The 22,448-nt window shown below is 33.1% G+C and overlaps 1 long non-coding RNA gene across 1 annotated transcript in view; it reads left to right on the top strand.

Annotated features, from left to right (window-relative positions):
* Positions 1-22,448, top strand: part of LINC00355 (long intergenic non-protein coding RNA 355) — an 89,641-nt gene that overhangs the window by 54,820 nt on the left and 12,373 nt on the right. The window contains exons 3-4 of the long non-coding RNA NR_145420.1: positions 17,727-17,844; positions 18,783-18,807. This is a non-coding gene — a long non-coding RNA (long intergenic non-protein coding RNA 355). The remainder of the gene's footprint in view (positions 1-17,726; positions 17,845-18,782; positions 18,808-22,448) is intronic.

Genomic DNA, 22,448 nt, shown 5'->3' with positions numbered 1-22,448 from the left:
AGTAACACGTTAGGCTTCCTAATACCAGATATTTTTCTTTAAATTTTGCAAGGAATAGTAGTCTGATGTGAAGGCTTTTTATTAGACATATTTCTTCAATCTTGGTTTTTATCAGTCCAAGGCGCACACACAGTCGCTCACTCTCCCCCTCTTTCTCTCTCTGACTCTCTCTCTCTCTCTCTCTCTGTATCTCTCTTTCCCTCTAATATAAAATGCTACAAAATGTGGCCTGTGAATCATAACTGGGCCAGAAATATGTGTTTGACACACATTTTTTAAAATAAAGCTTGAATTTTTCTTGTAGAAAAGATATTTAGCTGTCCAGGGCAGATTCTCCACTCTTCTTGGAGGGACTTTCCCTACTATGTAGTGGTAAGAGGATGCAGTGCTTTTGGCACCATCCAGAAAGGAGACATGTAAATTGCAGCAAAGTAACGGGGACAATCATAAGTAGGTGAATCCACTTTATTCTTGCTCACAGCATATGAGACAGAGGATATTGGCCCTAATCAGTCTCTCTCCCTTTTTGGAACTTTGAATACAGATTTGGGTGAGTAGAAATGGATCTAAGCTGTAGTCAACAGTATGTTGAAGATGTTTTAAGCAAATTGTGTATGAAGTTTGTCCTGACACACAATTTGGCCAAACCTCCTTAGACCCCTTGATTCCTGTCTACTTTCTAAGATGAAACACTTTTTAGTCTCTCATAAGTTATGTGAAGATATATACAATTACAAAAACTTTTCTGTTCATGTAAGACATTCAGAGACCATTTATATTGCTGTTGAAAGAATGACTACAACGTACAACAGTTTATGTAAAAAATATAGACTCCTGGCTTCCCTTCAAAATTTGATGCTCTGGTAACTCCCTAGTGTTAAAGACCAGCTGGCTTCATTAAATGAGGCATGTGGTCTTTGCTTTCAAACCGTCCCTATTACTTTTACATCTGGGAAGCTTGTTTTCATTATCTGAACAACCAGGGTAGTCATCTGGCTTTGTGAACTTCAATTTACACTTTTCCCCAAACATCTCATTCATTCTCACTGCTTAAGATCCCATATGTGTGTTAGAATTCCATAATCTAATATATTAGTCACAGATCATATATTTGAGCCACAGATATATTGTTAAAATTGTCTTTTAGATATTGTTTTCACTGGCCTAATATTAAAGAAAATAATAAAAGCAGATATCATCACTCATGACAAAAACTTTGCTATTCGCTCCATCTTCACTCTTCATTGAATGCAAACGTGCACAAAGTTAGAGAACTGAAATCCATCTTTAACTTCTCTCTCATCCCTATGACTAATTATGGCAATGTCTCAATACTATATACTAAGTATCTCTCACATTTATTTATTCATTTTTTAAATCCCAAAAACCTGGTTCAGGTTACAATAAATTCTTGTGTAAACTACTGCATTTTAACTTCCCATATAGCACATTTGCCTCAAATTTTGATTTCCAACAATACTTTCCCACATTGCAGTTACAGCATGAAACCCCGTTAAATAATTTATCTTTTTTATATAATATCTACCGTTCTTAATAACACTTAAAATTCTTATTCTCATCAGCCACATCCCATGATACTCACTTTTTGTTTTTGTTGGTGTTTTATTCAATGTGAAATACATAGAAATAGTTGGATATTTGTGTATGGAACCTAAACAAGTAGATGTAATATTTATTTCTAAATCACTTAGGACTGAATAAGTGAAACCTAGATTGGTTGTGGTATCTATTGCAGTGTTTCAAGTAGAGGAGAGGATGTTATTATTTGTGCTCAGAGTCTTGTAAATAGGGGCTTATGAAGGTAGTCTTAGATGTCTAAAAAAAATCTAAATTCAAGAAGAGCCCTTAAAAAGTATTCATTAGTCTGAAGAAGTTTAGAAGAAAGAATATGAGTGTAAAACAGTGGGATATTAGGTAAACTAACATTTTGATCCTTGTAATGTACAATACTTTCCTAGACCCCTGGTATCGAAGACCTTACAAATTAAGAGTAGACACATAAATTTTAAAAATACACAAAAGTGTAATAAATAACATGATTTGGGAAATACAGGGTACTCAAGGAATATATATTAGTTTATTTGGCCATACCAAATGTGGATATCCACCTGCGTAACAATTTTATGTAGTTTTTCTTACAGCGTGATACTACTCGCACTAGGATATGTAAGATAGTTTTAGAAGATACATAGCTATTGCCATCCCAGCAGCCCACTTCTATGTGCAATACCACTGAGCTTCCTATAGATTCAGAGAAACACAAAACAGAAGAAGATGGAATCAGAGAGAGAATGAGGAATGAGATTATGCAGGATGGTTTAAGTCATTGTAACCCTTTGAATTTCACCCGAATGAAATGGGGGAATCATTGCAGTTTATTGCAGAGGGTTGACATGCTGTCAATTATACTTTTGAAAGATCATTATGGTAGCTATGTTGATAATAAACTGTAGCAATTGTCGGGGAAGGATAAACAGGTCTGAAGAAACAAGTAAGAAAACCATTGCTATAATTGTGAGAGTGATGATTGCTTAGTCAAGACGGTTAGCAGTGAATAGACTAAGAAAAAATATGGATTCTGGATATATTTATATATACACATTTTTGTTGTTTCCTTAAGATAATATATTTTATTTTTCAAATATTTATTTTGAAATAATTTCAGACTTTCAAAGTTCTAAAAATAGTACAAAAATTGCCCTGAAACTTCAGCAAAATTCCTCAAATGTTAACACTTTACTGGGCTTTCTTCATCTCTTATTTTCTTTCATTCTCCCTCTCTTCCTCTTTTTTCTGTATCTATATCTGTTTTGATCTACATGTGCATACAAATGTTATCATTATTCTTTTTGTATGATTTGGGAATAATTTGTAGATATAATGACACTGTGCCTTACATACTTCCATGTGTTTTTCCAAAACACAAAGTCATTTTCTTACATAATCAGGGCTTAATAATCAAAATCATGAAATTGTATTTGATACCGTATTAATTTCATCTCTGGATATATTGAAGAGGTAGAGTCAACAGGATTTCTTGCCAAATTAAAACTGATTATGAGTAAAAGAAAGGAGTCAAAAATGACACCAGCATTTTTTTATCTAAACAGATGGAAAAATAGCATTGATATTAGTGAGAATAAGAAAACTGTGGGTGGAGGAGATTTTGGGTGAGGATAGCTGAAAATCAGAAGTTCAGCATTAAACACAATAAGTTTAAGAAGTCTCTTAGCATCTAAATCGAGATAAGTTCTGGAGAGCTGTCTAGAAAGATGTCCTTGGAAAGAGGTAGTCCTTTCTGCATAAGAAAACAGATAATTGTGAACAAAGATGTAAAGTAATTCAATATCTAAAAGAAAGTTAATTGATTAGTGTCATGAGAGATGATCATTATTTCCCCAAGGAAATAGTCCTTGAGAATAGTTTTTTAGAGGTAGATTTTGAAATTAAAGAATGCTAACCATTAGGAATACTTTACAACAGAACAGGGAAATAATCACAAATGTGGACAATATTATTTTTTCAGATGTGTGAGTGGAGAGTTGACAGTCAGAGCTGAGGATCTTAGTTAAAGCAATGCCTCAAAGTGTACACGTCGGGAGAAAAGAAAGAAAAGGGCAGAGGGAATAGAAACATAAGAGCAAGGGGAAAGAAAAGCTAAGGGACTAGAAGAGCATAATAATATATGAGCACAAAAATAGTGAAACTGAGAGATACGTAAGCCTATCCAAGGACAAGAGAAGTATGGAGTTTTATATTTCAACCCTCGAAGAGTTCATATTGATAACAAGGTCTAAAGTGGGGAATTAGTTGTTGAAATGGAGATGAAGTTTGCTGAAATGGAGGATGCACAATTTAGGAAACAGATCTAAGAATACCTGGCCAGGTCAATAGTCAAAGATGAGCAAGTGACAGTTTCAATTCTGCGTGATTAATTCATTTAACTTTTCCTCTGACAGAAAAGGGCCTAAAATTATATGACATCTACTTTCTTATTCCTTTTGTTCTCTTTACCAGCCCCTCTAGGATATTTTTTTTCTTAAATCTGAAGAGAATTTTCCTTCCTGCAGGATTGAAAAATCTTCAGTTCCTATTTATTTGCTTCATTTCCAAGTAAAGTTTATTTGTATTCTTTACATTCACTGTGAGTCGATAAATAGAAACAAGTTTCAGGGTGCTCTCATTTTACCTAGCAAGTATCTCTTTCAGTAAGATTATAAAAGTGCCTGTCTCTTATCTTTATAAATTTGCATGCATTACATTTACATGATAAGCTGTGGTTCTCTGATAAGTCAACAACTCTAAAATTTCAGAATCTTACCAAGGCTCTTTCAGTAACTGAATCTCATAACTGAAAAGGAAAAAAAAAACCAAAGATTCTACCATTATACTATCAGCCTTATATATCACTGAAAGGATTTCTAATTTGGATATGTTATTTTGAAATAGACCTTTTCATCATGTTTTCTTCCCACCGGTAATCTTAGACTGGTATCTTCATCTGCCATGAGTAAAAGTGCTATTACTTGCTAGCACATCATTAACGTCCGGCAGGAATATAATAAATTACACCATTTCTCTGCAATTTTACTTGAGCACTGTTTCTTGCTGAAATGTATAAAACTGGAAAGAAACCTTGGACTTCTACCTGACACAAGAGCACAGAGATATTTTATAACTGTCAAGGTTACTAACACTTTTACAGTCAGGGCAGTCATGTTGTTTTTGGTCTTCTTAAAGAACAGGGCAACAAAAAGTACCCAATTAAATGTGGGGCAAAATCAGAATATATGTGGAAATATGGCACAAACCATTTTTGAGTATAAACAAAACAGTGAAGTTCTGACATTTATCAACATTAGAGTGGAGTCTAATATTGCTAAATTACTCAATTCAAATGTTCAAAGCAGAGAAAATCAAGGTTATGTGGGCCATAAGATTTTTTTTTAATTTTTGTAGATTCATGTGCAGGTTTGTTACATGGGTATATTGCATAATGACTAGGTTTGAGCTTCTAGTGTACCCATCACCTAAATAGCAAACATTATACCTCTAGTTTATTTTTCAGCCCTTATTTGGCTCCCATCTTCTCCCCTTAAAAGGCTTTCTTTCAAAAAATGTCCCTACAATTTATCTTTTTTCTTTTTTTTTTTTGGTGTTATAATCTTGTATTTTTATTATCTCAGTTATTTCACTTACAAACAAACATGAAATTTTATTATTTAAAATAAATACTGACATGAATAAATTGACACCACAGTTGTTAATGGTATATATATATATATATATATATATATATATATATATATATATATATATAACTAAAACAGTAGTACAAAATTGTTAGAAGCATCAACCCTAAACTTTCATTGCAAATCTTTCCTAGTCCAACTTTTAAATATACATAAAAATAACAATATTTAGTCCACATAAAGGCAAGTAGTGTAACTCATTACTAAACATCAGAAATAATTCCATTTCTTAATAGAGAAAAAAGATAATTCAATTTTTCTTACAGAGTATTTTTTTGGCGAAAGCTTTTACAGGTAGTGGGAGACTACATGAACAATATTTTATACTTTCTTTTTTGTACATCATAAGAAGGAGAACTAGGAAAAAGATATTAGGCAGAACACCTGAGACACATTAATTAACTGTAGAAATATTAAATTATTCATTAGCACTCATTTCCACTCCCTTTAAGTGTCAGGTAACAGAAATTTTGTGAATGCATAATGTAAACTTTTACAAAATAGTACTTTATATTTCATTGTATTTCAACTTGCTTTCAGAATTGCCTCATTTTATGGTCAGAATAACTCTGAGCTAATATTCACACGCTTTTTTTCTCTCTCTGATCTCCTACATATGATCCAATAGTTAATCATCAGTTATAATCACCTGGTGCAATAATAATAAAGACTGTTCTTGTTTTTCCTCAGCCTCATCCCAACAGCCTCAGTTAAATCAGGAAGCATGAATTATGGTTGAGGTAGTTATTCTGCTTCCTGGAAAATCCAATGTAGCATGCATGTTTGAAACATAGATATCCTCCAGTATGAAAAATATCGAATTCAGATTTAAAGGTATCCAACCTTCCTAGATTAAGGTCTATCTAAGCTAAGTGCTCTCACTGTACTTTTTGCATGGTATTTATTATGTTATTTTGTAACTGTTAATTTATTTTCCTGCCATAACAATTTGTGTGTGATTTCTTAAAAGCAGAAAATATGTCTTTTAAATCTGGATTGTGCCTAGCAAAATTCATGGCACTTTTTTGATAATCAGTAACTTTTTGTCTATGCATGATTGGTACTCTCTCCTCTTTACTCCATATAAAACAAAGAATTTTTTATTATCCCAGGAATCTTCATTGGCATGCCAATTGATTCAAGGATATTGAGGCTTCCTCTTAAAGACAATTAACCCAGAAAGAAAAAGACTGAAATAAGTTTAGAATTGGGTAGTGCCTTAGAAAACCCTTGCAAAGTTCTATTAATTCTTCCATCTTTTCTTCACTTGGAGCATCACAAATGCCCTGTTTTGGGAATGATGCCTTTATAAATAAACAAAGATTATATCCTACTTTTGAGCCATAAGTATTTGACATAATGCTCTGGAATTTTGCTTCCTGACTTTCATATATCAAATTTGCTACAATCTTCTATTGTTAAAACTATTCTTTGTTTATACTAATGTCATATTCATGTTAACTCTGAATATTTGATATTTCATATTTGGATAAAATCCTGTATGTCTTGTATATAGTCCAATATTTCCTGGTTTTGGATATTAAAAACCACACAGTCCCAGTATTAGTGTCTTTCTTCTAACTTTTATAATAATTATTATTTTTAATTTTAGAGGCAGGGATTTGCTCTGTCATCCAGACTGGATTGCAGTGGCACGAGCATAGTTCACTGCAACTTCAAACTCCTGGGCTCAAGCAATTCTTCTGCTTCAGCCTTCTGAGTAGCTGGTGCTGCAGGCGTACGCCACCATGCGTGGATAATTTTTTTTAAATTTGCTAAAAAGATGGGGATGTCACTATGTTGCCCAGGCCGGTATTGAGCTCCTGGCCTGAAGCAATTCTTCTGCCTTAGCCTCCCAAATTGCTGAGATTACAGAAATTAGTCCATGCCTGGCCCAATTTTTATAATTATGTGCTATAGCTATATGTCACTCCTACATTTCTCAGTATTTTAATCTGTATTCCTGATGACTCGTGATTTGTATGTAGTTCAGAGGCTGTAAAAGGCCTGTGAATAATTTAAAAATAAGTGGGGTACTTTTCATTGGCAAATCCCTGATTTGTTTTAAATTTGTGTTATTTGTAGAAAATATGTTACATCATAAAGGGATATTGTGTAAAATATATTTCAGAAATGGCATTTTGGCTCCTGCTGCTGTAGATTTAGAGAATTTATGTTATGAAAGAATAAACAAAAATGCAAAAATATTATTTTATTAAAAAACAGCTAGGGACCATAGAGATGATAAACCAATCTGTGGCTGAAAGCTGTTTAGGGTGGGGAAAACAACAGAAGCGAGGCACAGAAGATTGTTTAGGGTGATGAAACTATTTTGTATGCTACAGTAATTTTGAATAGCTGATATTATGCATATACCAAAACTTATAGACCTTTACTACACAAAGAGTAGACATTTTATGCAATATTAAAATATCATTTAAAATCGGGGGTAGATTGCAGAGTTAAATGCAGAATGTGACAAAACAATCTAACTGTATTAAATACACTTGAAATAATCTCACTGAACAGGCTGAACAGGATAGAAAGAAGAGATGCTGAACTAAGCAACTTTAGAAATGGACTGAGTCTGTGACTAAAGTCATAAGAAACTCTTCTTAAACAGTGTACTCTAATTGATAAAGTTATTTCCAATGGGAGTGCAGTAAACAACTGTGAGACCGCTATAGATACTTGCTGGTTTTGAACAATTAAGTAAAAGAATGGCAGATAGCAGGAGCTAGGTTTCTCACTAGTAGACAGTTGGAGGTTACACATAAGCAAGGAGAAGAGTCCAGAATGATCCATATTGTAATGAATTAGAGCTGAACACATTAGTTTAAACTCATATTTTGCTTAACATAGATATAGATGTATCTCTCTATCTATATATACACACATATACACACACAATTATATTTATATATACATTTACATTTATATATTTCCTTGTTGTGTCAGCTGAGAAGGCCTAGAAACAAAGCCACCTCAGTAGCAAAGAGGATGAAGATCTTAGTCCCTAATACCATTCTTCAATTAAAAAAAAAATTCCTTGGATACATGGTTGATTATAGGACAAGAACAGAAAATATACAAGATAATATAGAAAATAAACATAAAGATCTTGTAGCAGACACTAAAATAAATAGTGACAGCAGGAACAACTACAAAACAATGATGAGTGCATGTCGAAGGGATGTAAGGGCTAAGTAAAAGTGCTACCCATGGTCAATGGTGGAAAAATGTGAGCAGCAAAATAAATATAGAAGTATTAGATTGTACCAAAAGTATAAAATAAATATCCATAAGTCCATACTCATATAAATAAATGATAGAATAAAAAATAAATGAAGCAGAATATAGAAATCATCCATGAAGAATTCCAAGTAATTTATGAGGACATTCTATTTTCAAAGAAGTGGAGCATAACTTCCTACTCTTAACTGTGGGCTACACATAATGACTTTCTTCCAAAGAGTATTGTTTGGAAAAGGGGAAAAACATAGCTTATTGTAGTGAAATATGACACTCACTATTTCAAATAGGAGATCAGGGTTAACGTCAACAGTGACAAGTAATGTTTACATAACGTACATTTGATAGGATGGTGATGAGACTAGTGTTTGACCTCAATGCTGTTCCTCCAAAAAACCCATAACCCAAGTCTAATTTTAGGAAAAATATCAGAAAATTCCCCATTGGTGAACATTTTACAAAATACTTGACTGTTCACAATCTATCTTTTTTGACAAACAGCATTGGTGATGCTGCTTCTTAGCTTTTGATAGACTTTTATTGCTTTTTTAATTGAATTTTATAATATCGTGCTATCTTCCTTTGTGGAAAAGTTGTAAGCAGTTTTTCAATGGATTTTTCAAATAATAGCATTCTTCAGAGTTCGAAGCTCATTTCCCTTTCTTCCCCATTGTAGCGCTATGGTTAATTATCTACTTTGTTCCAATGACTTTAATGAATATTTCTAAGGTATGAATTTTGAAATATTTATCTTGCGTCCAGATATGATTGCTCATACTCAGAACCACCTTCCCATTAGCATCTTACATCAGGCCAAAAACTCAACATTTTATCTCATTCATATCCCCTGTCTTCACATTCAAATACTTATGCCTCCTGTGTTTGCCATTTCAATATTATTCTATTAATTCATTCAACAAATAGTTATTGAATATTTATATACCAGGAAATTTTCTGTGCAGTAAGGAGACAAAAATTAACAAAAAGACTAATATCTTGCCACCTTGGAGTTTATTTCCATATGAGGTCTGGTGGGAATACAGATAAGATAAATAACTAGATTATGAGTTTGACAATCGTAATAAATTAAGCAGGAGTTAAGAATATGAATTGAAATACAGATTGTTTTCCATTTAAAATAAGCTTAAAATAAATGATCATTTATTCAAGAACTTAAAAGTGGCAAGAGATTAAAACATGAGATCCTCATGGGCTGTTAACTCTTTCCACATTCAGGTTTGCAGATGTGTCAGAATGTCTGGACTAGTTCCTGTAGATATCCAGTATAGGGACAACAACGACAACAAAAATGCCAGAGTGTGCAGTAAAAGCAATATCATGCATTTGAGTGAAAGTAGTACATTTGTAATATTTGATACACCTTCTTGACCAATTTTATATTTTTAACGTTTTTACCACATAGTGGTCAGTAAGTATTATCATTGACTAGGTCAATATGTTAATCATTAAGTGACATTTGACGAAGTGAAGAAGAAATAATTGGAGCATTCAATGATACATGAAATCTAATGAATGAATGAAAGAATAATTTCAAAGTTAAAATGTAAGTACAAATAATTAAATGAAGCAGAAGGGCTTAGTACACAAAATGAGAGCACTCAATTTTAATATGCTTTTCAGATGTAGATTTTAAGCATCCTATAACCACAAAGTTGACTGCAAGATCATTTGGTAAATACTCTTATTTCTTTCTATTAATTCCAAAAAGATATTTTTTTCACTAGTCCTCATAAATTGCTCAATGTTTATTTCAGTTTATCCTATCTGTGACAACATCCAAGCAATCAAAATAGTGATTCACAAAGTGTTTCCTATAATGTCTTGTAGGTAATGGTACATAAAATGCTACCAATTATTAGCTCAGAATATGTACTTCTAAATTTTCACAGTATAAAAATTATACATTTCTATTTTTAAATAGTATTTTTATCCCATACTTAAGGGCAATGAGGAGGATTTCTTAATCTTTGAAGTTGGCATCTCAAAGTGATGAATGGTAAAATTTCAGTGTTTTGAATCACAAAAGCCTTTTTAACAGGAGGATGTCATCAATATCTTATGGTCCTTTGAAAATTATTATTCAATATTAATATAATAAGTGACTTATTTGATGTTAAAGCTTCATATTTTGTACATCCTTCACAAAGACAATAAAATTTAAAATAATCCTGGAATATGTCTGCTTTAGCAGCCATTTTTCCATACTCAAGATGATGTGCCTGTTCCAAGCTCAGCATCTATAGCAAGTGGCAGAAGAGAGAGCAATAAAAATAAATTCTAGTAGGGTCGATTTTGATCAGCATTTTTTTTCTTACATAACTTCACCATTCACTAAATATCAAGAGCTATTCTAAAATTCCTGAGCAGAATGGGTTGCAAATTAATGAGCACATCTAAAAATGTCTAATCCTTTTGTTTTTCCAGGTTTTATCATTCTTACTCAAGACACTGGTTCTGCAATCCTGAGACCCATTCTCTCACCACTACTATGAATACTTCTATGTGTGAACTACAGTGGTAGATTTAGAATGAATGTGCAAAATATGCAGACAAATTGTTTTATTTTAAGAATTTAGAATCAAGTAACTCACAAAATTTTCTTTCATTATTTCTATTGTTTAATAGCAAAAACATCTTATGGTAGAGACTTTTAAACATAAAATATTTGGATGCTTATCCAAGCATGTTAATTTTTCAACATATACCACACTTCAGTATTATACCTTAACATCAATGAATTGATGTTTTCAGGAAGATAAATATTATATAATGTTTATCACGCTCCTTTATCTTTACTAAACTAAAAAAATAAATAATGCTTAATATGGAAAATAGGCTCACTATATCTAATTTTATTGACGAGATAGGCATTTTGGGGAGAACATTTGGATTTCTCTTTCTCCCCTTCCTAAAAAATGTAGTTTTATTTGAAAACTTATTTCATCATCTAATTGGTGGTAAACAATTTAGGATATTAAAAGAAAGCTTATTAACATTACTTACTGAATTGGGAATTCATATATATGAAATTAGACATATTTTGATACAGTATTGGGTATCATTATGCTGAACTAATATGACTACGTTTATGTAGGAGATTCTATTAGGAGCAGTGCTCACCATCTCAATAAAATAAGAACACTAACACGCATGAGAATAATATAATAAGTGTTTTTGAAAGGTAGAATTTAAGTACTATGTGATAGCTGACCAAGGAAGATAAAATTTCCAATTGAGTCAATTCAGATGTGCCTTTTATAGGAGTGGGAATTTGAGCTGCACCATAAAGACATGGTTTCTTGGTTCAGATTTCATGGTATATAACAGAATAGATAATTTGGAAAGACAGGGATACATAAGCAAGCATCAGGTGATTAAAACTTTTTTGGAATAGCTGGAAGTGCAGGCTCTAGTCTTAACTTCTGGAAGCAATTTCAAATTACCAGAATTCACTACCTAATTAAAAGGAAATATTCATTTTCTAAGATGATATTGTTTGCTTTGCTCTAAAACTATCAGAACCTACTCTATGTTTCTTCTATTAGTGTGTGCCTAAGGTTACATAAAGCATACCGTCTGCAATAGACACTTCAAGCACAGTTGGTTCCAGGCTAAATTAAAACTCTGTTAGCACTGCATCCCAGAAAAGCTGGAGAACACTTTCTTGCTCTAGGTATCTCTTTATGCTGAGACTATTAATGGTCATTATATGAATGAACTAGAGCAATACATGCAAATTCGGTACATGTTGACTCAAAATACAGAGACTTGTCTTGTAACACTTTCTTATTGATACTGGGCTCAGGACAAATCAATTTGTTATTCACTTTGAAGGAGCTATGTTAACATGCCTCAGAAACCTGCAGCTCAGACGTTTCAATGAGGTGGGGGGGCTTTAAATTTTTATGTATGATACTTTCATCTTTAGATCACCAGTGCTGTGGGTCAGCATAATGAAGACCCTTGCACATAAAGCAGAGCTGGAAAAGTGATAAAGGCCAGAGCAAAGTTATAGCTTTGAATGAAGGTACTTTGTTGTCATTGTCCATGAGAAAAGAGATTGCCTCTATTTTCTCCTGTGTATTTTTATAGACAGAAGTCATTTACAAAATCATTGGTTATTTGCCAGATACTTAGCTTTATTGATTTATCCCACCAAAGAGTCTGTATATGAAACATAAGTTGAAATTGGAGTCACTACCTAATTTTGCCTACATTAATTTATGGCAGTTCTTTAAGATGCACAGCAAAAATCCAAAAGATGATTAAGTGGGAATGTAGAAGAACTTTCTTACTTGGCTTTTAAAATATTCTAGGCGCTGTAGTAATATAATAAGTACTTCTATTTTTGCTGGTCTTTGGTTTACTTTTTTGATAGTGAAGCACACTTCCAAAAATTTCCACCTGGCCTTTCTAATAATAATTATTCTCGCAGCTAAAAATGTACATTATGTACTGATTTAGCGTGTAAGGCTGCGGAGATCTTCTAGAATGTAAAGCACAATGTACGAAAACAGAAAATATCAGATGAAAGAGCCATACCCACATCTTTATAATAAAATGTCCAGTGGTATAGGAAAGAAAAAAGTGGAAAGAAATAAATCATCCAAAACAATAGAAGAAACTTTTTGTTAACTGATGATAGTCATCAGTCTTCTGGTTGAAAATATCTATGAACTTGTTCCATAAAACAAGTAGCAGGTGGTCATTAGACTGGCACATCTGTAAAGTAGAAAATAATTAAGCACCGTCTATTTATTTATTTATTTGTAAAGATGGGGTCTCACCCTGCTGTCCAGGTTGGAGTGCAGTGGCATAACTATGGCTCACTGCAGCCTGAAATTCCTGGGCTCAAGTGATCCTCTTGCCTCAACCTCCTGAATAGCTGAGATTACAGGTATAAGCCACTGTGCCTGGCAAGTATTGTCTTTTCATTTCCAAGAGAAAATTATTTTGGATTCTCAAGTTTACATTTAACTAAAATATAAATCTATTATGAGAGATAAAACATGACGTGTGAGAAAGAGATAAAGAATTATTTTGGCTTTTCAGATAGGCAATGATTCATACATTCTTCTCATTTAAAAAACAAAACTGGAACTTTCCTGCAACCACTATGGCTAAACACATCACATACCTCAGTAAGAGAAAAAAATATGCTTTGCATTCAGGGATAACCTTAAAACCTATGTCTACCATGTTGCATTTGTTTTCTATTTTATTCTTATGGTTTTGTTTTTGTTCTTCCTCTTTTCCCATTGTCTTTGAGATTAATTGAATATTTTTGGAATTCTCTATAATATCTTCTAATGAATTTTTAAATTAGAAATTTTGGTGGATCTGGATATTATAATATGTATCCTGAACTTCTCATAGTAATCCTTTACTAAATAGTATATCACTTTTCAAATTTGTAGGAAGCTTACCATAGTGTAATTCCTTTCACTCCTACGCATGCTTTGTATAATTGCTGTCATATGTTTTACTTCTAAAAGTTATAAATCCTACATTGCACTGCTATTATTTTTGCTCTATCAATCAACTGCCCTTGAAATAATTATAAATATGAAAATATTTATATGTTCATTCATTACAGTGTTTTTCATTCCTTTTAAAGTTTTAAGATTTTTTTTTTGTTTTCATAGTATTTTGAACATTCCTGCAAAACTTTGCAAATAAAAATACATTTTTCTGTCTAGATTTTTCCTTCATTGATAGAGGTAATATTAAAATTTCCTGGCAGATCTACCCAATAAAACAAAACAAATTGTGTTGCTTCTAAAATGCAATTTTTATGTCTCACACCTAGATCCACTTTTCTTGGCTCCTGTAGTATATCTAGTCAAGCAATGAAGATCATTTATTCTTGTTGATTGTTTCTGAAGCTGTTTTGTTTCCCAGCCAAGTCTGTTTTTATTTTGTAAATGTGCATCATTTTGATTTTTGGTTTTTTATGAGCAATGTTGACAGGCTGGTTTTTATTATATTATCTGACCATGTGGGCTTTTTTCAAGTGGCAGCAACACTGGTTGTATCTTTGTGTTTATCCTCTCAGTTTGTTCATCTTAAGAATTCTAATATCTCCTGATATTTTAGATAACCTTCCCTATGACCCCATATCATAAGGACATAATTTAGTAAGATATGTGGCTGTGATCTCTACCTAATGCAAAGATGACAAAGTGCTCATATTACATATCCAACCACTGTGTGTAACCTATTTTCTAAAACTCTTAATGTTTGTGTTGTTTGCACACTCCTGTGAACTCAAATCACCTAAAAAGGGCTAAATTTTAAAAAGAAAATTATTTCTGAAATGAAAATTAGCTATTGGTTCAAGAAACGTCTCAAGAAACTTATTCATGTCTCCCTAACCTTCCCACCGTGAAACTGCTGCAACTGACTGGTGAATTTTGTTGAGATGCAGACAATTGTTCCTATATGTACATTTAATCAGTGGCTGAAGTTGATAAACTAAGGCAGATGGCTCTCTGTGGTTTGTGTGTGTGTGACTAATTTTTTGAAGCCTTTCTCTTCTTTAAGAAAGAAGATAAAAAGGAAGATTTACAACAGTTAACTTTCAATTATACCACTTTTGTGTCTATGCCTGGCTCCTTTTAAAAACTTTTGAAGATTAATTGGCCATATAAATCTTTTATTTGTGTGCACTATAGAGTAATCTAAATGGAACAGATCCACCATCAAAGGGGTGAAATGTATGCAAAGTTTAAAATATTGAAACTATTTTTGCATGAATTAGAGAGCAGAGAGCACTGACTAAAACATGGCTTTTTTTTGTTTGAATGAAAATTATATGAATGAGTCTTAATTAATGTCAGAATCAAATGCACATGAAATGAGCAGTACTTCTGGCTTGTGAAGTGCTCTTTGCCTGCTTTAGATTTCAGAAGAGTTCCAACTGCAGGATTATTCCTTTCATTGAAAAGAAAAATAAGACTCTCATAGAAATACACAAAGTCTAAGTAAAATGTTTACAATGACATTCTGTCTCCAAAAATATTAAACTTTATCTTGACCTACAATCTCTCTAGACTAGTGCTTTAATAAACAACACATATGGAATAGTGAGATATATCCTCTCACTCTAATTCTATTATGCTGAATTTTTCTGTAATTTAAACTATGTAATAGAGTTAAATTTTTACTTGGGGCTCAGTCCCCAATAATATGAACCATAAACCACAGAGAATCACCATCTCCAAAATTTGACTATCTTGCCTGAGTATTTAATAAGACCTGTCTTTTGTCTTATGTTGTGAAACATTTTGTTATTATTATTTGAAGCACTACTACTCATCAGGATATTTTCCTAAACAATAGCACAACTTGAAAAGTAATCATACATACGCCCTAACCCATGTCACCACACAACCATGCTGCCTCCTGCAGCCTTAACTTGGTTTTAGTTGGTGCTGTCTGAAGTCAGCAACCTCTATAAAATTTTCCACTCATTAGACAGAAGGGGACACAAGACAGACAGACTTTTAGCCAAAGAGTAAGCAGAGGAACTCCCAGTCATCCAATTTGAGAGCTTGTTTCAATTCCTGGTTTCAGTCTGGTTGGTGGACAAACTAGACTGTAAGACATGCAACACACAACTCTAGATTTCTGGGAGAGCAGGGGTGCAGGAACCAATTCAAGGAGATCTAATGCGTGTCATTCAGTCAATTGTATGCCATTCCACAAGCGTGGAATTGGAAGCAAGAATAGAAGTGTCAGTAAATAGAGAGATTTCCAGAAAAAAAATAATTTTGCATAAAGTCATAAATAACAGACATTGTGAAAAATACCACTCTTCTTTTTGTCTTATAGATATGGATGTAAGCATTTTCTTCAAGACAGAAAAGAAAAGCAAAAATAATTTCCAGAATGTTGGCCTAGTGCAACTGAATGCAAATTTTGCCATCTTTTAGAGACACTTACTAAATTAGGTCCTCAGTATTCATGGAGGGAGGATTTGTTCCTGATCCCTACTCCCCCTTCCTCCTCATATACAAAAATCTGGGCATACTTATGTCCCACAACTGGCCGTGTTGAACTCACATATGGGAAAAGTAGGCCCTCTTATCTGTAAGTTTTACATCCTATCGTATTGTATTTTTGATCTGCCTTTTGTTGCTGATGCAGAATACAGACATGGAGACCTACCTGTATTTATTGAAAAAAAATCTGCATGTAAGTAGACCTGCACAACTCATACTGTTCAAGGGTCAACTGTACTATGCCTTACAAATCACCTGTGGTTATACTTCGACCATCTGTATACCTCTAGTAACAGCACATAAGTGATTTCAACAATGAGCTCTGGAATCAAAAGACACCCACCCCGAGATTGAGGAGGGAATAAGGATGTGGCTAAGGGGGAGTCTTGCACCAGGTACTGTCCTGGCTGTCTTCATGAAGGATATTGCTGGAACCCCTTTTGCTAAACCCCCCTCTTATCTGAGGTTTTGCTTTCCATGGTTTCAGTTACCTTCAGTCAACCTTGTTCCCAAAATATTAAATAAAAATTACCAAAAAATTTGTAGCTTTAAATTGCACACCAATCTGAGTATTGTAATGAAATATTTTGCTGCCATTCTGCTCCATCCTTCGCAGGACGTGACTTATTCCTTTGTCCAGCATATTCATGCTATCTAGGCTGCCTGTCCATTAGTCACTTAATAGACATGTTGGTTACCAGCTGTCACAATATCACAGCACTTGTATTCAAGTAACCCTTGTTTTACTTAATAATGGCCCCAAAATGCAAGAGTAGTGATGCTGGCAATTCTGATATGCCAAAGATAAGCCATAAAATGCTTCCTTCAATTGAAAAGGTGAAAGTTCATTACCTAATAAGCAAAGAAAAAAATGTATGGCGTGGTTGCTAAGATCTACAGTATGCATGAATCTTCTATCTCAAAAATTGTGAAGAAGGAAAAATAAATTCTTGCTAGCTTTGCTGTCACAACTCAAACTACAAAAGTTAAGTTGTGGCCACAGTATATGACAAGTGCTTAGTTAAGTGGAAAGGTATTAAATTTGCGTGTGTAATAATAAGATATTTTGAGAAAGAGACAGACTATAGTTACATAACTTTTAAATATAATATTGTTCTAATTATCCTATTTTATTATCATTGTTAATGTTTTTTGTTTGTTTGTTTTTTTGAAGCAGAGTCTTGCTTTGTCACCCAGGCTGGAGTACAGTGGCGTGATCACAGCTTACTGAAACGTCTGCGTCTCAGGTTCAAGCGATTTTTCTGCCTCAGCCTCTGGTGTAGCTGGAATTACAGGTGTGTGCCACCACACCTGGCTAATTTTTGTATATTTATTAGAGACGGGGTTTCACCATGTTGACCAGGCTGGTTCAAACTCCTTGCCTCAAGCCATCTAACCAGCCTTGGCCTCCCAAAGTGCTGGAATTACAGGAGTTTGCCACCCCACAAACCACAGGCTATTTTATTAATGTTTTGCTAAACCTAATTTATTAATTAGCTTTATTACAGATATGTATATATAGGAAAAAAATAACATATTGTATATAGTTTGGTACCATGTGTGGTTTCAGGCATCCAGTGGGGGATCATGAAATATATTCCTTATGGATAAGGGGGGTTGCTACTCTATACTAGGGGAATTATTGGGCTTTAAAGATCAGCAGCCCCTTTTGGAACATAAAGCAAAAGCCGTCACAAAATTAATTTCTGCAGGGGATAATATAGTTATTGAAACATCCAGGTTATTTGATTTTTAGAATGTTCCACAGTCTGGAGTTTGCAGATTACTCAATGTAGAATTCTTTTTTTTTTTTTTTTTTTTTTTTTGACATGAAGTCTCACTCTGTCATCCAGGCTGGAGTGCACAGGCGTGATCTTGCCTCACTGCAACCTCTACCTCCTGGGTTCAAGCGATTCTCCTGTCACAGCCTCCTGAGCAGCTGGGGGATTACAGGTTAATTTTGTGTTTTTAATAGAAACTGGTCTCAAACTCCTGACCTCGAGTGATCCGCCTACCTCAGCCTCCCAAAGTGCTGGGATTACAGATGTGAGCCACCACACCTGGCCTCAGTGTAGAATTTTTCATGCTTCTTTGTTTTCTATCTTTAATGAAAATTGGAAGCTGGCTTTAGAGTTGTGATTGATATAATTGTATTTATTTAACAAGACCATTGGTCATGTTTTAGTCTTTTATCTGGTGATATGTAACGTATGGTTTCCTTTCTTTTTTATAGTGTTAGCAGTCACTGATGCTCAAACGTAAGTCCTTTATTCATCAATTTATTGGTTTCTTTTCTTTTTTAGCTTGAATATTATTATAAGATAATTATTTTCTTCTATTATTTCATTACCCAGTGATAAAGTTGAAATAGGAAAGGAAAAAATATTTGATTTTTTTTTATTTTTTAAATTTTCCAGATAGTTGATTTGTTCCATATTATCTCAGAAAGTGACCAATTGGTTTTGTTATTCTCTTAATATTATTACAAAATTATAAATTTTAACATTTTTTGTTGAGTGAGTTTCAATCCATTGTAGTTCTTCCTGAAGCTCAAATTACTTCTTTTGCTAGCAGACCTCACTTAAATTTGACTTTTAAATCCTTTTGACATGACATCAGAGTGTGATAAGTTTGATACCATGCTTATTTTCTATCAGATCTGGACTGGATACTGAAAGATGCTCATTGCTACTGGGTTGGTCACCACAAATTGAAATTCTTTTTTTTCTCAAAGCTCCAAAATGTATATTCTTTTAATTTTATACTTAAATATATTTTCTTACTGAATAAGATTCCCTAACAGAAAAATAAATTCCATGTTTAGAATCTGGATACTTTTACTCTTTCTGGAGTTCCTGATTATCCTCAGTTGATTATTTTAACACATTAATAAAGAGAAAATACAAAGACCTGAATTACAATGTCTTATTCCCATACTAAACAATCATTTCTCAATTTAATGTAAAGTAATTCTCCCTTCAGTGATATTTGTGTTTTATTTAATACAAATAAACTTTTGTAGGTGTAAAGAGGATCAGTTAATCAGTGTAACAGTTAAGGATTGAATGACAGTCTTGATATTCTGTTGTGTGCGTAATTGGGTGAAAAAGTTTTTAAAAAAATTTACCAGGATTCATATTGATAAAACAGCTGTGTGAAATTTACATTTAAATCAATTCAATTTTATAAGTTTGTTCATCAAAACTCAAAACTACCTGTATTACAGAAGAACAATTAGAATTTATCCAGGTAGTTGTTATGGAATACTAATCTGCACATATTGAAAGACAACAAAAGTTAACATTTAAATGTAGTTAAAAAAGAGAAAAATAATAAAACCATTGAAAATAAAAATAAAGGCGTGTAGAGACAAAACAAACTTGAAAAGGTCGGGACAATTATTATATATGAGTAGGAGAGTATAATCTTGAGTATGTGAGAAAATGTAATTTGGTGAGAGTAGAAAATCAGAGGTAGAGATACAATTTATGGGAATTTCAAGTTTGTGTTGTAAAGACTGCAGAGTTACTGTCAGCTTGTCTACAACAGAAGCATGGGAAGGAAAGGCAATGGGAATAGAACAGAAATCTAAACACAGAATAAGGAGCAAGCATTTATTCAGAGCAACTCATCAAAAATGTAAATGAATATAACAAAAAATATTGGCAGGAGAATGAAGTAGTGTTTTTTAAAGAATCTAAATTTTGAGTATATCGATGAGAAAATAAAAGAGTAAATGAAAAGGAAGACAAGGAAAATGGTAACAAATTGTAGCCAGCCCAATGATAGCCATTCTCGCAAACACTTGAATGGTGATTGTTGGACAACCGGGGTTGTGTAATAACCACCTTGCTTTCTGTTTCCTCTATTTTTTATTCCCTTTTCTCATAGCTATACATAAATACAGTCATGTTAAAAATGCTCATATGCAGTAATCCAGCAATTTCCACGTAAATACTGAAATTACTGTGATTTGTTTCCAAATAGATCAGCTACGACTTCTTAGGTTGTAGCTTTTAAGTCAAATGGCTTGAAAATCTTTGTGTAGTTTCAAGAAGTGTCTATTTTGCTCTAAGGGAGAAAAAAAAGATTATTTCAACTATCTGTGAGCACATTGATTGTCAACTTGCCCACTCAGTTTTTATGAATAAATCCAAATAACGGCTGTATTTTTACTTAGCACCACTTCCTCTCTAGGAGTAATAGTCTATAAGTGGAAGAGCTGGTAGAGATAAGCAAGTCCGTGTCCTATTATACAAGGTAAACTTTTAGTATGTGTACTTGCACTTCACTTCCCAGAGGAAATCTGCCTTTTTAGACAAACATAAAACCCATAATGGTTTTATGGATCATAGTTTCTGGAAATTATTTTCCACCTGACGAAACTGAAACATTTAGCGTATGTATTACATAATTCAAAAGCCAGGTCTGTACATATTGCATTGTTTTATTCAAAAACTGCAACCTAGATACCTTGAATTGCCTTTCCACATGGCAGAGAAAAGCTACACTTACTTTTTTGTTATATGCTGTGCTGAATTTTTTTTAATAGACTCTACTAAACAGGCAAAATCCCAAAGAGGGAAAACTCTCGGCATATGGTTTTAATTCAAAGAAGACTTGGATATAGGATTTAATGGTTGGTGTCAAGTGCTACATCTCAGAAGGAACAGATAATAACAAAAGCTAATGCTTGTAGATGTTTTGCTGGCAGTCAAGCAGTTTTATTTTTTTAAATAGTTATTGATATGGTATTCACATATCATAAAATTCATATAATAAAATATGCAATTAAATGGTCTTTAGCATATTTGTGCATATGTAAATCCATCATCCCAGTCAATATTAGAACATTTTAATCATATAAACAAAACCCATACCCTTTTGCTATCACCCCCATATCCCCCCATTCTTTCCCCTCCATCCTAAGGAACTACTAATTTAGTTTCCATCACTACAGATTTGTCTATTCTGAATATTTTATATAATGTGTGTTTTCTGTGACCAATGTCTATTACTTAGCATAAGTTTGTAAGCATCAAAGGCATGTAATGTGTCTCTGTACTTTATTCCTTTTTATGACCAAATGATATTACATCGTTTGGATATACTATATTTTGTTTATTTTCTTTATTTATTACTGAACATTGGGATTGTTTCCACATTTTGGCTATTATAAATAATGCTACTATAAATACTCATGTACACCCTTTGTGTGGGCATATGTTTTCATTTCCATTGGGCATATACCTAGGAGTGGAATTACTGAGACATATGGTAACTCTATGCATAATTGTTTCAGAAACTGCCAAACTGTTCACCAAAGGGCCTGCACCATTTTATATTCCCACCAACAGCATGGCAAAGTTGTGATTTCCCCGTAATCTTGCCAGAACTCGTTTTCATCTGACTTTGTAAATCTAGCCATTTAAGTGGATGTGAAGTGATAATTCACTGTAGCTTTGATTTACATTATAATGATAAATGCAGATGTTGCATTTTCATGTACTCAATGGTCATTTGTATATCTTCTTTGGAAAACTGTCAGTTAAGATCCTTTGCCCATTTTTAATTGGGTTATTTGTCTTTTTTTGATGCTACTGTAAATGGAATTTTTCTCTTAGTTTTGTTTTTAGATTGTTCATTGAAAGTGTATACAAATACAATTGATTTTTGTATATTGAATTGCATTCCTGGGATAAACAATTGATCTTGATATATAATTATGTATATGTTTCTGGATTCCATTTGCTGGTATTTAATTTTTTTGGCATCCATATTCATAAGATATATTTGACTATACATTTCTAATGATGTCTCTGTTGATCAGTGTGATACTAGTCTCTTTTATTTTGTATAGGAGTTTATGAAGAATTGGTATTATTTCTTCTGTAAACAT

Source organism: Homo sapiens, chromosome 13, assembly GCF_000001405.40.
Source record: "Homo sapiens chromosome 13, GRCh38.p14 Primary Assembly".
NCBI lineage: Eukaryota > Metazoa > Chordata > Mammalia > Primates > Hominidae > Homo > Homo sapiens.
Note: the sequence above shows the minus strand (reverse complement) of the source record. Positions and strands in the feature narration are given on the sequence as shown.